The sequence below is a fragment of the Homo sapiens genome, chromosome 19 (genome assembly GCF_000001405.40).
Source record: "Homo sapiens chromosome 19, GRCh38.p14 Primary Assembly".
Classification (NCBI taxonomy): domain Eukaryota; kingdom Metazoa; phylum Chordata; class Mammalia; order Primates; family Hominidae; genus Homo; species Homo sapiens.
Window position 1 is genome coordinate 48,399,469 of NC_000019.10, and position 15,870 is coordinate 48,415,338.

At 51.2% G+C, this 15,870-nt stretch overlaps 1 protein-coding gene across 2 annotated transcripts in view, besides 4 other annotated features; it reads left to right on the forward strand.

Moving 5' to 3' along the window:
* Window positions 1-15,870, forward strand: part of GRIN2D (glutamate ionotropic receptor NMDA type subunit 2D) — a 51,264-nt gene that overhangs the window by 5,801 nt on the left and 29,593 nt on the right. For both annotated transcript variants that reach the window (NM_000836.4, XM_011526872.2), the window contains 4 exons: window positions 5,266-5,885; window positions 14,523-14,637; window positions 14,905-15,116; window positions 15,396-15,564. In NM_000836.4, the coding sequence (NP_000827.2) occupies window positions 5,266-5,885; window positions 14,523-14,637; window positions 14,905-15,116; window positions 15,396-15,564 (1,116 nt within the window). The remainder of the gene's footprint in view (window positions 1-5,265; window positions 5,886-14,522; window positions 14,638-14,904; window positions 15,117-15,395; window positions 15,565-15,870) is intronic.
* Window positions 1,216-1,757: an enhancer, noted in NCBI's record as "OCT4-H3K27ac-H3K4me1 hESC enhancer chr19:48903941-48904482 (GRCh37/hg19 assembly coordinates)". NCBI's record gives its function as "activates a minimal SCP1, AML or CMV promoter by ChIP-STARR-seq in naive H9 embryonic stem cells {active_cell/tissue: H9 hESC(naive)}" and the evidence as "EXISTENCE:reporter gene assay evidence [ECO:0000049][PMID:30033119]".
* Window positions 4,164-4,458: an enhancer, noted in NCBI's record as "tiled region #12315; HepG2 Activating DNase unmatched - State 8:EnhW, and K562 Activating DNase matched - State 5:Enh". NCBI's record gives its function as "activates a minimal TATA promoter and a strong SV40 promoter by Sharpr-MPRA in HepG2 and K562 cells {active_cell/tissue: HepG2 | K562}" and the evidence as "EXISTENCE:reporter gene assay evidence [ECO:0000049][PMID:27701403]".
* Window positions 14,920-15,641: an enhancer, noted in NCBI's record as "H3K27ac-H3K4me1 hESC enhancer chr19:48917645-48918366 (GRCh37/hg19 assembly coordinates)". NCBI's record gives its function as "activates a minimal SCP1, AML or CMV promoter by ChIP-STARR-seq in primed H9 embryonic stem cells {active_cell/tissue: H9 hESC(primed)}" and the evidence as "EXISTENCE:reporter gene assay evidence [ECO:0000049][PMID:30033119]".
* Window positions 15,347-15,486: an enhancer, noted in NCBI's record as "active region_14892". NCBI's record gives its function as "activates an Ori minimal core promoter by ATAC-STARR-seq in GM12878 lymphoblastoid cells {active_cell/tissue: GM12878}" and the evidence as "EXISTENCE:reporter gene assay evidence [ECO:0000049][PMID:35858748]".

The following is a 15,870-nucleotide window of genomic DNA, read 5'->3' on the forward strand; positions in this document are numbered from 1 at the left end:
GAGGCAAGAGAATTGCTTGAATCCGGGAGGCGGAGGCTGCGGTGAGCCGAGATCGTGCCACTGCACTCCAGCCTGGGCGACACAGTGAGACTCTGTCCAAAAGAAAAAGAAAAGGAATGGAGTTCAGAAAGAAAGGGGCGAAGTCTAGTGGAGAGGTGGCAGCTAGGAAGTATCAGAGGTATCAGGTACCAAGGACAGAGTTTGGGGAGGCGTTCGGCCGGTAGAGCATAGGGTCTAGAAGTCAGCCAGGGATGGAGGAGCCATCTTCTAAGTGGAAGTCGGAAAAGAGGAAGAGTCATTAGAGAGAGGAGGACGGGCAAGGGGTAGAACCAGGAAGCAAGGAATTGAGATTTGGTGCGAGGCCAGTCAGGGAAGGAGTGAGTCAGAAAAGGGGGCGGGGCTAGCCAGTTGGGGGCGGGGCCAGCGAGGGGCGGGGCCTAAGCACTCTAATAAAGGGGTGGGTCTAGGGAGGAAGCCGGTCCTGAGAGTAGGGTTTGAGAAGGGGCATACCCCGCTGTGAGGTGTGGAAAGCGAGAGTCCAGAGGATGGGCAGGAGGATGAAGGCTTATGGTGGAGGCCGACCCAGCCAATGACAGATCAAAGCCAGGAGCCTGCTGGGAAGGGATGGTAGAGGCTGGAGCTGGCCAGAGCCTGGAGAAAGGCCTGACTCCCAAGGGCACAGAAGGGGCCAGTTGTAGCGGACCTCTGGTAGAGAAGGAGAGAATTGGACCAAGCCTGCTCTGTGGATTGAGAATGGGTCAGCTAGGAGGTGGGGCCTGAGAAGGGGCGGGGCCTCTCCAGAGGTGGGGCCAGCGCAACCCAGAGGTGGAGCTTCATTCAATCTGCCCATTCCCTGCTGTGCGGGCCTGTGGCTGTGTGACTGCATCACTGTTGTATGCAGAGGCTCGTAGTCCTCTCCTGTCCAGAGCATTCTGGGAAGGACCTCTGTCCAACTTTCTTGTTCTCCTTGGCATGGTACTTTTCAGAGATTTGTAGGTAGATGCCCTGGGAGGCGAACTTATTTCTTAACTGCCACTTCCAAGGCATACTCAAAAGACGTGATCCCTCGTGCCTTCATTGCTGCTGAGAAGTGTGGTCCTCTCTGTTTCATTGTCCGCTGGGCACTGCGGTCGGCTCAGTGTACGCCCATAGCATTCTGGGAAATGTAGTCCCCGTGCTGCCCCTGGATGGAAGAAAGAATGATCTTCACAGCTCCATCTGTGCCCCACTGAATGCTGGGAATGTGGTCCCCTCAGCACACCTCCACCTGCTGAAGGAAGAGGTTCTCCTTGCATTACAATAAGACCTCATTTCCGGCCAGGTGCACTGGCTCACACCTGTAATCCCAGCACTTTGGGAGGCCGAGGCGGGCAGATCACCTGAGGCCAGGAGTTTGAGGCCAGCCTGGCCAACATGGAGAAACCCCATCTCTGCTGAAAATATGAAAATTAGCCGGGCATGGTGGCGCATGCCTGTAATCCCAGCTACTCAGGAGGCTGAGGCAGGAGTAATCGCTTGAACCTGGGAGGCGGAGGTTGCAGTGAGCCGAGATTGCAGTGAGCCGAGATCTTGCCACTGCACTCCAGCCTGGGGGACAGAGTGAGACTGTTCTCAAAAAAAAAAAAAAAACAATAAACAAAAAGAACTCATTCCCTCAGGACAACTGCAGTATCCCCTGTGCGCCTAGGGAGAAAGCCCACTTGCTGTTCTCATTGCATTACAGGAAGATTTATTGAGAGCTGATTCTGTGCCAGGGCTGTTTTAATTCCTAGGGAATACAGTTCTAGAGGGGGGGGGAAAAAAAGAGAGGGAGACAAGGTCCCTGCCTTATAGAGCTTGCATTTTAATGGTGAGACAGACAAAACCAGTAACAGTAAAATCCGGCTGTCCTGGAGGAAATCAACACAGGATGTTGTAATGACTGAGGATGGAGTTTCAATAGATGGCAGTCAGGGGAGGCCTCCCTGAGGCGGTGACACCTGAGCTGGAGGTGTCAGGTGGAGGTCTGGCATGGAGGAGGTAGGGAAAAGTGTCCCCAGGAGAGGCAACAACAAAGGACAAAGCCCTTGAAGCAGGAAGGAGCTTGATGTATTTGAGGAAGAGCAAGAAGGGAGTGTGGCTGGAGCCCACTGGGGGATTGGGGTGGCAGGAGATGAGGTCAGAGAAGCAACGGGGGCCAGTTCACGCAGGGCCTTGGGGCCACGGTGAGGACTTTGGCTTTGATTCTGAGGTAGAATCACTGGAAGGTTTTCAATTGAGAAGGGATGTGATCCAATTAATATTTTGAAACAATCACTCTGGCTGCTGTTTGGAGAATAGACTGGAAGATGCAAGATTGAAAACAAAGATAGGCTGGGCGCAGTGGCTCATGCCTGGAATCCCACCACTTTGGGAGGCCAAGGCGGGTGGATCACTTGAGGTGAGGAGTTTGATACCAGCCTGGCCAACATGGTGAAACCTCCCTCTACTAAAAATACAAAAATGAGCTTGGCATGGTGGTGCATGCATGTAATCCCAGCTACTTGGGAGGCTGAGGCAGGAGAATTGCTTGAACTCAGGAGGTGGAGGTTGCAGTGAGGCGAGATCTCGCCACTGCATTCCAGCCTGGACAACAGAGCGAAACTTGAAAGAAAGAGAGAAAGAGAAGGAAAGAAAGAAAGAAAGAAAGAAAGAAAGAAAGAAAGAAAGAAAGAAAGAAAGAGAGAAAAGAAAACAGAGATGGGTGGGAAAGTTGTAGATAGCTGGGCAAGAAAGGGTGACAATGAGAGTTGTGACAGTGATGGCAGTGAGGAGTGGACAACTGGAGCTATCTTTGAACGTAGAGCTAAGAAGACTTGGAGATGGCTGAATGTGTGAGGGAAAGAAAGGGAAAGGATGATTTAGGTTTGGGGCCTGAGCATCAGGGTGAATGAGAGAGAGAGGAAAAAAAAGGCAGCTGCTCTTTATTCCTTAAGATTCTTTACTCCTGGCCGGGCGCGGTGGCTCATGCCTGTAATCCCAGCACTTTGGGAGGCCGAGGCGGGTGGATCATGAGGTCAGGAGATCGAGACCATCCTGGCTAACAAGGTGAAACCCCGTCTCTACTAAAAATACAAAAAATTAGCCGGGCGCAGTGGCGGGCGCCTGTAGTCCCAGCTACTCGGGAGGCTGAGGCAGGAGAATGGCGTGAACCCGGGAAGCGGAGCTTTCAGTGAGCCGAGATTGCGCCACTGCGGTCCGCAGTCCGGCCTGGGCGACAGAGCAAGACTCCGTCTCAAAAAAAAAAAAAAAAAAAAAAAAGATTCTTTACTCCTTTACGAGAGAGAGAGAGAGAGAGAGAGAGAGAGAGAGAGAGAGAATAGGGAACAGTCTTGAGATAGGGGAAAGATCGAGCAATCTGTTTTTGACATGCTAATTTTGAGACACCTTGGAAATCCAAGAGGAGATATTGAATAAAAAGGAGGATAGGGGCCAGGCATGGTGGCTCACACCTGTAATCCCAGCACTTTGGGAAGCCGAGGCAGGCAGATCACTTGAGTTCAGAAGTTCGAGACCAGCTTGGCCAACATGGTGAAACCCTGTCTCTACTAAAAATACAAAAATTAGCTGGGTGTGGTGGCATGTGCCTGTAATCCCAGCTACTCAGAAGGCTGAGGCAGGAGAATTGCTTGAACCCAGGAGGCAGAGGTTGCAGTGAGTGAAGATGGTGCCATTGCACTCCAGCCTGGGCAACAGAGGAAGACTCTGTCTCAAAAAAAAAAAAAAAAAAAAAAAAAGGCTGGAGGATAGATTTGTCTGGAGCTCACATGAGAGGTTGTGACTGAGGACAGGAGCCATTAACATATCCAGCACTGTTCAATAAAACTTTCAGCAAAGATGAAGCTGTTCTATAGCTGCTCTGTCCGATTTGAAAGCCACAAGCCACATGTGGCTGTTGAGTACTTGACAAGTGGTTAGTGCACCCAGAAAACTAAGTTTTAAATTCTATTTAACATTTTTTTCCTCTGGTCCTTGATTCAGGATAAATTTTATTTAATTTTAATTTGAATAGTTATGAGTGGCTAACAGCCACCCTATTGGATAGCATGGGAGACAGTATTTAAACTCATGGGCCTGGTTGAGATCACCAGGGAGAGAGGAATAGAGAAGAGAACAGTAAGGCACTCCTAGTGTTTAGAATTTAGAATTCTGGCTGAGGAAGAAGGGCCAGCAAAGGAGGCAGAGGAAGAGGTGACAGAGAGGTAGGAGGAAAACCAAAGAAGGGAAAGGACACTCTGCAAAGCTTCTTCCAGTAGGGAAATACCATCAGCACCCTCATTGCATGCTGGGAGATGTAGTCTCCTCACTGCCTTCAGGGAACCAGTCCCTCTCAGTGGCTGCTGGGGGCTGTAGTTCCCTTACCGGATGCTGGTTGTATTAATGACAGTGATGTTAGCTGCTGGAACGGATGAACCCCCAAATCTCAGTGGATCACCCAACAGGAGGTTGTTTCTCATTCATATAAAATCCAGGCCAGGCACAGTGGCTCACGCCTGTAATTCCAGCACTTTGGGAGGCCAAAGCGGGTGGATCATCTGAGGTCAGGAGTTCAAGACCAGCCTGGCCAACATGGAGAAAACCCGTCTCTACCAGAAATACAAAAATTAGTTGGGCGTGGTGGCGCACGCCTATAGTCCCAGCTACTCGGGAGGCTGAGGCAGGAGAACTGCTTGAACCCGGGAGGCGGATGTTGCAGTGAGCCGAGATTGTGCCATTGCACTCCAGTCTGGGCAACAAGAGTGAAATTCCATCTCAAAAAAAAAAAAAAAAAATCCAAACAGGTGTTCCTGATTGGAGGTGGCTTTCCTCCGTATGGTGACTCGGGGTTTCAGGCTCTCACCCTCTTGTAGCTCTGTAATCCCCTTCAGAGGACTAAGCTTCAAGAGTAAGGTTTTATTAGGCTGGGCACGGCAGGAGAATCACTTGAACCCAGGAGGCGGAGGTTGCAGTGAGCCAAGATCATGCCGCTGCTCACCGGCCTGGGCGACAGAGCAAGATTCTGTCTCAAAAAAACAAAAAACAAAAAAACAAAACAAAAAACTAAGGTTTTATGGATGAGTCTAGAATAACTCATCACGTGGCTAAACCTAATCCAGATCTAGCCCTGTGCCCCAGGAGGAAAAGGAGATGGGTTTAGTGAACCTGTCGAGTCAGTCTGCCATATTGGGAGCTGTGGTCCCCTTATTCATTGCTGAGAAATAAGGTCCCCACATCGGCAGGCCTGACATCCTCCTCCCTCCCTGGCAGGAGAAGGGCTCCACCTTCCTGCAGCTGGGCTCTTCCACCGAGCAACAGCTTCAGGTCATCTTTGAGGTGCTGGAGGAGTATGACTGGACGTCCTTTGTAGCCGTGACCACTCGTGCCCCTGGCCACCGGGCCTTCCTGTCCTACATTGAGGTGCTGACTGACGGTAGTCTGGTGGGCTGGGAGCACCGCGGAGCGCTGACGCTGGACCCTGGGGCGGGCGAGGCCGTGCTCAGTGCCCAGCTCCGCAGTGTCAGCGCGCAGATCCGCCTGCTCTTCTGCGCCCGAGAGGAGGCCGAGCCCGTGTTCCGCGCAGCTGAGGAGGCTGGCCTCACTGGATCTGGCTACGTCTGGTTCATGGTGGGGCCCCAGCTGGCTGGAGGCGGGGGCTCTGGGGCCCCTGGTGAGCCCCCTCTTCTGCCAGGAGGCGCCCCCCTGCCTGCCGGGCTGTTTGCAGTGCGCTCGGCTGGCTGGCGGGATGACCTGGCTCGGCGAGTGGCAGCTGGCGTGGCCGTAGTGGCCAGAGGTGCCCAGGCCCTGCTGCGTGATTATGGTTTCCTTCCTGAGCTCGGCCACGACTGTCGCGCCCAGAACCGCACCCACCGCGGCGAGAGTCTGCATAGGTGAGTGGGGCTGGAATGGGAGGGGTGTGGGAGGGCTCCCAGAGCCTAACTACCTCAGTATTCACTGAATGAGTGGCTCAAATGGGCCACATCTGCTCTTTGAGCCTCAGTTTTCTTTTCTGTAAAGTGGGTGCAATTGGGTCTCTTTTCTGAGGTTAAATCAAGTAATTTGGAAAAAGCACCTGAGATAAAGTGAGTGTATTACTATATTTCATGACTCTAAGATGCATAATGTTTCACATTTTAATGTCTTTGAAAACGAGATGTGTCTTATAATTGATGACTTATCATGGCTTAATTGGCAGCACTTTTGTCTTTCTTTGTGGTACATCTTATAATTGAGAGCATTTTAGATTTAGTCTAAATACCTAGACTATAAACTGAGCTTCAGTAGCAAAAAAGACCCAACAATCCAGTGGCCCAGATGAGGTCGAAGTTTGTTCCTCTCTCACGTAACAACCCTGATAAGGAGACTGCTGTTCCATGTGATCATTCAGGGACCCAGGATTCTCCCACACTGTTACTCTGGCATCTCTGCATGGTCGAAGTGGGTCGTGGGGATGTCTGAATTGTAGCTCATGAGAAGGGGAAAAGAGAGGAAGTGGACAGCAAGCACTTTCCTTTTGAGTAAGTGAGGCAGAAAGGACACGCCTCATACCTTACTGTTGAGAACGTAGTCATATGGTCAGGGCTGGCTTACTGGTTGTTGACAGTGGTGTCCATTCTGATTGGTTGGACGTCTATTGGAATTAGCTAGACGTCTATTCTGATTAGCTAGACGCCTATTCTGATTGACTAGACGTCCATTCCGATAGGCTAGACGTCCATTCCTGGCTAGACGTCCATTCTGATTGGCTAGTGCCTGTGCAGCGCCGATTGCTACATATTTTGAATATTACTCCTGCACATGGCCTGGCCAACTGCAAGGAAGAGTGGGAAATGTCAGTCCTAGCTGGACAGGTGTGTGCCCAACTTACGCACTATTATTTTAGAAGAGGCGAACAGAGTTTGTTGGAAAATAGCATCTCCACGGTAGGAAGCTCTGGGAGTGGAAAAATTGGTAAGTTTGGTGACAGAACAGTGAAAAGAGAGACCTTTAATCCTGAACGAGGATGGGGTGAATTTGGGAAGAGATGATGGTTGGGGAAGAAGACCTAAGAGAGGGTAATTGAGAACTGGTGACTTGGGAATCAGGATCCCCGAAAAAGAGGATGAGAAAAGCATCCCTTCTTCATAAATACTTACTGAGCACCCGCTAGGAACTAGGGCTCATGCTGGGCGCTGGGAACATAGATGAATAAGACCATGAACTTATTCTTCAAAGAACGCAGGGTCCTGTAAGAGTGGCAGACAGGGACAGGGATAATGGCAACGCAGCATGATGCTTGCAGTAATGGAGGTCATGCGGGCATGGCGGGGGCACGGGGAGGAGCACTGGCTAAGCCAGGAGATTTTCGGATGCATGAAGCAGAGTCTCACTGGAGTTTCCTTAGGGAAAAGGGGGTTTATTGGAAAAATAAACACACAGAGGAATTAAAGCCAGGAATTGAGGCTAAGCCTGGGGCCAGCTACTCTTTCAGCTCTTTCTGGTTCTTTCTTTTTTTCTTTTTCTTTCTTTCTTTTTCCTTTTTCTTTTTTTTTTTGAGACGGAGTCTCACTCTGTCGCCCAGCTGGAGTGCGATGGCGTGATCTGGGCTCACTGCAACCTCCACCTCCTGAGTTCAAGCGATTCTCCTGCCTCAGCCTCCTGAGTAGCTGGGGTTACAGGCACGTGCCACCATGCCCGGCTAATTTTTTTTGTATTTTTAGTAGAGATGCCATGTTGGTCAGGCCAGTCTCGAACTCCTAACCTCAAATGAACTGCCCACCTCGGCCTCCCAAAGTGCTGGGATTCCAGCCGTGAGCCACCGAGCCCAGCTGGTTCTGTCTTTCTTATTCTATGCTTTCTCCCTCCCTCCCTCTGTCCATCTCCTTCCTCTCTCTCTCTCTTTCTCTTTGTTTCTCAGGCTTGCCTCTCCCAGACGCTGTTCAGTTCTTTACCCAGAATTTCTTCTCCCTCATAACTTCAGCTCTTGCTGGTCACAACTCATCCCTCCAGATCTCATAGCAAAATGTCATCCCAAGAGAGGAAATGTATTAGCCTCAGTCTGCCTTCCAAACCAGGTTGCACAAGTCACAAGTCAGCCTGTGGAGTCAGGAAGGTTTCTAGGAGAAGGTATCTGAGCTGTGACCTGAGGGATGAATTGCTCATTGATTCATTTATTGATTGAAACGCCCTTTATTGAAAGTCTGCTATGTGCCAAGCATTGCTTTAGGCACAGGGTGTATATAGTGTTAAATAAGGTCCCTGCTCTCTCAGAGCTTACAATCTGATAAAAGAGAAATGCAATGAGCAAATAAGTAAAGAAAAGGAAATATCAAGCAGGCAATAACTTCTGCTATGAAAATCAAACTGGGGAATGTGATAAGAAATGCATAGGGGGCTATGCTAGGTGGGGTGGTCAGGAAAGGCCTTTCTGAATAGGTGAAATTTGGAGGTTAAAAAACATGGATAGGCCGGGCTGTGGCTCATGCCTGTAATCTCAGCATTTCGGGAGGCTGAGGCAGGAGGATCGCTAGAGGCCAGGAGTTCCAGGCCAGCCTGGGTAACATAGTGAGAACTCCATCTCTACAAAAAATTTAAAGATTAGCTGGGCGTTGGCCGGGCGTGGTGGCTCACACCTGTAATCCCAGCACTTTGGGAGGCCGAGGCGGGCGGATCACAAGGTCAGGAGATCGAGACCATCCTGGCTAACAGGGTGAAACCCTGTCTCTACTAAAAATACAAAAAATTAGCCAGGCGTGGTGGCGGGCGCCTGTAGTCCCAGCTACTCGGGAGGCTGAGGCAGGAGAATGGCATGAACCCGGGAGGCGGAGCTTGCAGTGAGCCGAGATCGAGCCACTGCACTCCAGCCTGGGTGACAGAGTGAGACTCCATCTCAAAAAAAAAAAAAAAAAAATCTGGGCGTGGTAGTGTGTGCCTGTAGTCCTAGCTACTTGGGAGGCTGACATGGGAGGATCACTTGAGCCTTGGAGATCGAGGCTGTAATGAACTGTGATCTCTTCACTGCAGTCCAGCCTGTGCAACAAAGTGAGACCCTGTCTCTAAAATAATTTAAAAAATTAAAATTTAAGAAATAGGTAGGCAAGGTGTGGTGGCTCACACCTGTAATCTCAGGGCTTTGGGAGGCTGAGGTGGGCGGATCACTTGAGGTCAGGAGTTCAAGACCAGCCTGGCCAACACAGGGAAACACCATCTCTACTAAAAACTACAAAACTTAGCCGGGCGTGGTGACAGGCACCTGTAATCCTAGCTGCTTGGGAGGCTGAGGCAGGAGAATCACTTGAACCTGGGAGGTGAAGGTTGCAGTGAGCCGAGACCATACCACTGCACTCCAGCCTCAGTGACAGAGCAAGACTCTGTCTTAAAAAAAAAAAAAAAGAGAGAAAGAAAGAAATGGATAAAGCGAAGGAGCCAAGTATTGGAAGATCTCAGTGAAGGGAGAGGGAACAGCAGGTGCAAAGGCTCTGGGGCTGGAACTGCCTTGTCTTAGTCTGTTTTGTGTTGCTATGACAGAATATCATAGGCTGGGTAATTATAATGAATGGAAATTTGTTGGCTCTTGGTTCTGGAGGCTGGGAAGTCCAACATCAAGATGTCACCGTCTGATGAGGGTCTTCTTTCAGCATCATTACATGAGGGAAGGCATCACATGGTAGAAGGGCAAAGAGAGGAGTGAGGGAAGATCAAGCAAACCCACTCCTGCAACCACAGCATTAGTCCATTTGTGAGGGTACTGGAGCCCCATGACCTAAATGCTTCTTAAAGTTTCCACCTCCTAATTCCCAATACCATCACAATGGCAATGGCAATTAAATTTCTTTTTTTTTTTTTTTTTTTTTTGAGATGAAGTCTCACTCTGTTGCCCAGGCGGGAGTGCAGTGATGTGATCTTGGCTCATTGCAACCTCCACCTCCTGGATTCAAGCGATTCTCCTGCCTCAGCCTCCGAGTAGCTGGGACCACAGGTGCCTGCCACCACACCTGGCTAATTTTTGTATTTTTGTAGAGATGGGGTTTCACTATGTTGGCCAGGCTGCTCTCAAACTCCTGACCTCAGGTGATCCACCCACCTCAGCCTCCCAAAGTGTTGGGATTACGGGCGTGAGCCACTGCACCTGGCCGTAAATTTCAATATGAGTTTTGGAGCGGACAGACATCCAAATCATAGCTTGCCTGTTCGGAAGCCTGTTTGGGAGCCTGCACTGCTGGTGTGGCTAGAACATAGTGGGCAAGGGGAAGGAAGGTATGAGTAGCGGATGGAGAGGGTTGCAGGGCCCAGCTTGTGAAGGGCCTTTAGGCCAGGGGGCAGGGGTTTGGACATGATTCTTTTTTTTCTTTTTTTTGAGATACAGTCTCGCTCTGTTGCCCTGGCTGGAGTGCAGTGGCACAATCTTGGTTCAGTGCAACCTCAACCTCCCTCCCGGGTTTAAGTGATTGTCCTGCCTCAGCCTCCTGAATATCTGGGATTACAGGTGCCCGCCACCATGCCCGGCTAATTCTTGTATTTTTAGTAGAGACGGGGTTTCACCATGTTGGCCAGGCTGGTCTAAAACTCCTGACCTCAAGTGATCTGCCCCCCTCAGCCTCCCAAAGTGCTGGGATTACAGGCGTGAACCACTGCGCCCAGCCTGGACTTGATTCTGAGAGTAGTGGGGAGTTCACCGGAAATAGTATTCCAGTCAGGGGAAACGAGCATATGCAAAAACCCAGAGGGGAGAGAAACTTGGGCAGATGGTGGGACCACAATAGTTCCAAGCAGATGAAGGCCACAGAATTAGGAGTCAGAGTGACAGGCCAGGCGTGGTGGCTCACGCCTGTAATCCCAGCACTTTGGGAGGCCGAGGCGGGCGGATCACGAGGTCAAGAGATTGAGACCATCCTGGCCGACACAGCAAAACCCCGTCTCTACTAAAAATACACAAATTAGCTGGACATGGTGGTGCACGCCTGTAATCCCAGCTACTCGGGAGGCTGAGGCAGGAGAACCGCTTGAACCCAGGAGACGGAGGTTGCAGTGAGCTGAGATCGTGCCACTGCACTCCAGCCTGGGCAACAGAGTGAGACTCTGACTCAAAAAAAAAAAAAAAAAAAAAAAAGCAGTCGGAGTGTGGGTGGCACCAGGCCTTTGCCTTCAATGCAGGTTGAGAGGCCTGGATCTGTTCCACAGCACTGGTGAGCCAGGGGTGGGTTATGAGCAGGAGACGGGTGGCGTGAGTTTTGGGTATAGAAAGACGCCTCTGGGACCTGGTGGGGAACAGACTGGAGTAGAGAGATTGGAGGCTGGAGGCCAGGCAGGAGGCTGGGATGAGGGCCTAGGAGGGCTGTGGGGAGGCACAGAAGAAGACAGGGCAGAGAGAGCCCCAGGCCAGGAAGAAGGAGACTTGGGGACCGATAGGCTGGGTAGCGGGAGGGAGGAAGGCGGCTAAGAGTCTAGTCCAGTGACTGGGTGGATGACATGAGAGACAGTCAGAGTACCCAGGGTGATGTTGCATAGTGAAGATATTGAGGAGTCCAGGGACACCCCCGGCCATCCCCAGCCCTGGGCACTTCTAACCAGAGGAAGAGACATTTGAGCTCAGTCTTTAAGACACATGGAGTTGGTCAAGGCTGGGTACAGCGGCTCGTGCCAGTAATCCCAGCACTTTGGGAGGTCAAAGCAAGTAGATCATCTGAGCTTGGGACATGGCGAAACCTCGTCTCCACCAAAAATACAAAAATTAGTTGGGCATGGCGGTGCACATTTAAAGTCCCAGCAGCTTCACAGGAGGCTGAGGTGGAAGGATCACTTGAGCCTGTGAGGCAGAGGTTGCAGTGAGCCAAGATCACGCCATTGCACTGCAATCTGGGTGACAGAGTGAGACCCCGTCTCAAAATAATAATAATAATAATAATAATAATAATAATAATAATAATAGGCCGGCAGTGGTGGCTCACGCCTGTAATCCCAGAACTTTGGGAGGCCGAGGTGGGCAGATCACAAGGTGAGGAGTTCAAGACCAGCCTGACCAACATGGTGAAACCCTGTCTCTACTAAAAATACAAAATTAGGCAGGCGCGGTGGTGCTTGCCTGTAATCCCAGCTACTCAGGAGGCTGAGGCAGGAGAATCGCTTGGACCTGGGAGGCGGAGGTTCCAGCGAGCTGAGATTGCACCATTGCACTCCAGCCTAGGTGACAGAGCAAGACTCCATCTCAATAATAAATAAATAAATAAATAAGAAGAATAGTTGGTCAGGATAAGGGGTGGTATAAGGTTTTTCAGGCAGAGAGAACAGCATCTGCAAAGTCCTAGAGATAAGAAATCACTTGACATGTTTGGGAGACACCTTGAAGCCAGTGTTGATAGAGAAAAAAAAAAAGAATTTTGGGGTGAAAAGAGTTTGAAGTTTGAGGGTGGGAACTCTCAGAGATGCGGCTTCAGAGGAAGGCAAAGCCAGAACAAAAACAGACTCTAGGGGCCTGGCACAGTGATTCACACCTGTAATCCCACTATGTTGGGAGGTTGAGGTGGGAGGATCACTTGAACTCAGGAGTTCAAGACCAGCCTGGGAAAAGTAGTGAGACCCTATCTCTACTTAAAAAAAAAAAGAGGCTGGGCGTGGTGGCTCATGCCTGTAATCCCAGCACTTTGGAAGGCCGAGGCAGGCGGATCACAAGGTCAGGAGATCAAGACCATCCTGGCTAACACGGTGAAACCCCGTCTCTACTAAAAAAAATACAAAAAATTAGCTGGGTGTGGTGGCAGGTGCCTGTAGTCCCAGTTACTTGTGAGGCTGAGGCAGGAGAATGGCGTGAACCTGGGAGGTGGAGCTTGCAGTGAGCCAAGATCGCACCACTACACTCCAGCCTGGGCGACAGAGCGAGACTCTGTCTCAAAAATAAATAAATAAATACATACATACATACATAAAAATTTAAAAAAAAGAAAAGAAGAAAGAGAAAGAAAAGAAAGAAAGAAAGAGAAAGAAAAGAAAGAAAGAAAGAAAGAAAGAAAGAAAGAAAGAAAGAAAGAAAGAAAGAAAGAAAGAGAGAGAAAGAAAGAGGCGGGCCAGGCCAGGCGCGGTGGCTCACGCTTGTAATCCCAGCCCTTTGGGAGGCTGAGGCGGGCGGATCACCTGAGGTCATGAGTTCGAGACCACCCTGGTCAACATGGTGAAACCCTGTCTCTACTAAAAATACAAAAAATTAGCCGGGCATGGTCGTGGGCGCCTGTAATCCCAGCTACTCGGGAGGCTGAGGCAGGAGAATTGCTTGAACCCGGGAGGCGGAGGTTGCAGTGAGCTGAGACCACACCATTGCACTCCAGCCTGGGCAACAAGAGCAAAACTCTGTCTCAAGAAACAAAAACAAAAACAAACAAAAAACCACACATTAAAAAAAAAAAAAAAAGAAAGAGGAGGGCATGGTGGCTCATGCCTGTAATCCCAACACTTTGGGAGGCTGAGGCAGGTGGATCACTGAGGCTGAGGTCAGGAGTTCTAGACCAGTCTGGCCAACATGGTGAAACCCCATCTCTACTAAAAATACAAAAATTAGCTGGACATGGTGGTGAACACCTGCAATCCCAGCTACTCAGGAGGCTGAGGCAGGAGAATTGCTTGAACCCGGGAGGCGGAGGTTGCAGTGAGCCGAGACCATACCATTGCACTCCAGCCTGGGCAACAAGAGCAAGACTCTGTCTCAAAAAACAAAAACAAAAACAAACAAAAAAACCACACATTAAAAAAAAAAAAAAAGAAAGAGGGCATGGTGGCTCATGCCTGTAATCCCAACACTTTGGGAGGCTGAGGCAGGTGGATCACTGAGGCTGAGGTCAGGAGTTCTAGACCAGTCTGGCCAACATGGTGAAACCCCATCTCTACTAAAAATACAAAAATTAGCTGGACATGGTGGTGAACACCTGCAATCCCAGCTACTCAGGAGGCTGAGGCAGGAGGATTGCTTGAACCAGGAGGCGGAGGTTGCAGTGAGCGAAGATCATGCCACTGCACTCCAGCCTGGGTGACAGAGCAAGACTCTGTCTCAAAAAACAAAACAAAAACAAAAACAAACAAAATATTAGCCAAGCATGGTGGTGCATGTCTATAATCCCAGCTACTTGGGAGGCTGAGGCAGGAGAATCACTTGAACCCAGGAAGTGGAGGTGGCAGTGAGCCAAGATCATACCACTGCACTCCAGCCTGGGAGACAGAGCAAGACTCTGTCTCAAAAAAAAAAAAAAAAAAAAAGACCAGCCTGGGAAAAATAGTGAAACCCCATCTCTACTTTAAAAAAGAAGGAAAGAAAAGGGGACTCTAGGGCCTCAACACCAAGCTGAAAGAGAGTCTGGAACCTTATCCTGGGGGGCACTGGGCAGCCAAGGGGAGGGTGCTGAGCAGGGAAGGGGTATATTCGTGTTTTTGAGACCTTGGAGGTAAAAGAAGAGAGATTCCAGCTGGGGGCTGGGGCTGGTCTGCAGAAAGGGGACTTTCTCTGCCTTCCGCTGCCAAGGTCCAGCCCAGGCCCCAGCATGTCCCCTTTCCCTCCTCCTGGGCAGGTACTTCATGAACATCACGTGGGATAACCGGGATTACTCCTTCAATGAGGACGGCTTCCTAGTGAACCCCTCCCTGGTGGTCATCTCCCTCACCAGAGACAGGACGTGGGAGGTGGTGAGTCGTAGCCCCAGACCTCAGGCATGGCAGAGGGTGTGGACTCCTGCATCCTGGCAGAGGGGGGGCTTGAGGTCGTGGACTAAGAGGGAGGAGGGGACAAGGAGCCTGGACTCCTGGGTCCTGGGATCTGAAGGTGGGAGGGGCTCCTGGGTCTTGGAAGAAGCTGCTGCCCACACACCTAGGTCTGAGGGAAGAGGATCATGGAGGCCAGGATACACCGGGAAGTCTTCCCAGGAAGCCTGACTCTCTTTCCCTTTGGCCAAGGTGGGCAGCTGGGAGCAGCAGACGCTCCGCCTCAAGTACCCGCTGTGGTCCCGCTATGGTCGCTTCCTGCAGCCAGTGGACGACACGCAGCACCTCACGGTGGCCACGCTGGAGGAAAGGCCGTTTGTCATCGTGGAGCCTGCAGACCCTATCAGCGGCACCTGCATCCGAGACTCCGTCCCCTGCCGGAGCCAGCTCAACCGAACCCACAGGTGACAGCTCGGGATCCAGGAGTTCCGGCTCCAAAACCCGCCTCCCGTGAAGCCCAGTAGTCTGGGCCCCCAGCCCCCTCCTCCCTTGGGACCCAGGACCCACAAAGCCCTCCAGCTTGGTGACCTTAGGCAAACCTCAGAATTCTTTGAGCCTGAGTTTCCCCTGAAAGCGCTAACCATAGTTTTAGCTGCCGCCTATCCCTTCCTCCATATCCTCTCTTCATGAGAGAGTCTAAGGAGGGGGTCCCCAAACTCCCCAAGCCTGGTCACTGCCCGCAGCCCTCCACCGGATGCCCCCCGCCCGGAAAAGCGCTGCTGCAAGGGTTTCTGCATCGACATTCTGAAGCGGCTGGCGCATACCATCGGCTTCAGCTACGACCTCTACCTGGTCACCAATGGCAAGCACGGAAAGAAGATCGATGGCGTCTGGAACGGCATGATCGGGGAGGTGAGGGGGCGGACGGGAGGCGGGGAATCTTCGGGGCGGAGTCGAGAGGCGGGCACAGCCGGGCGTGGTGGCTCACGCCTGTAATCCCAGCACTTTGGGAAGCCGAGGCGGGCGAATTGCCTGAGCTCAGGGGTTCGAGACCAGTTTGGGCAAAACGGTGAAACCCCGTCTCTACTAAAATGCAAAAAATTAGCCGTGCGTGGTGGCGGGCGCCTGTAATCCCAGCTACTCGGGAGGCTGAGGCAGGAGAATTGCTTGAACCCGGGAGGCGGAGGTTGCAGTAAGCGGAGATCGCGCCACTGCACT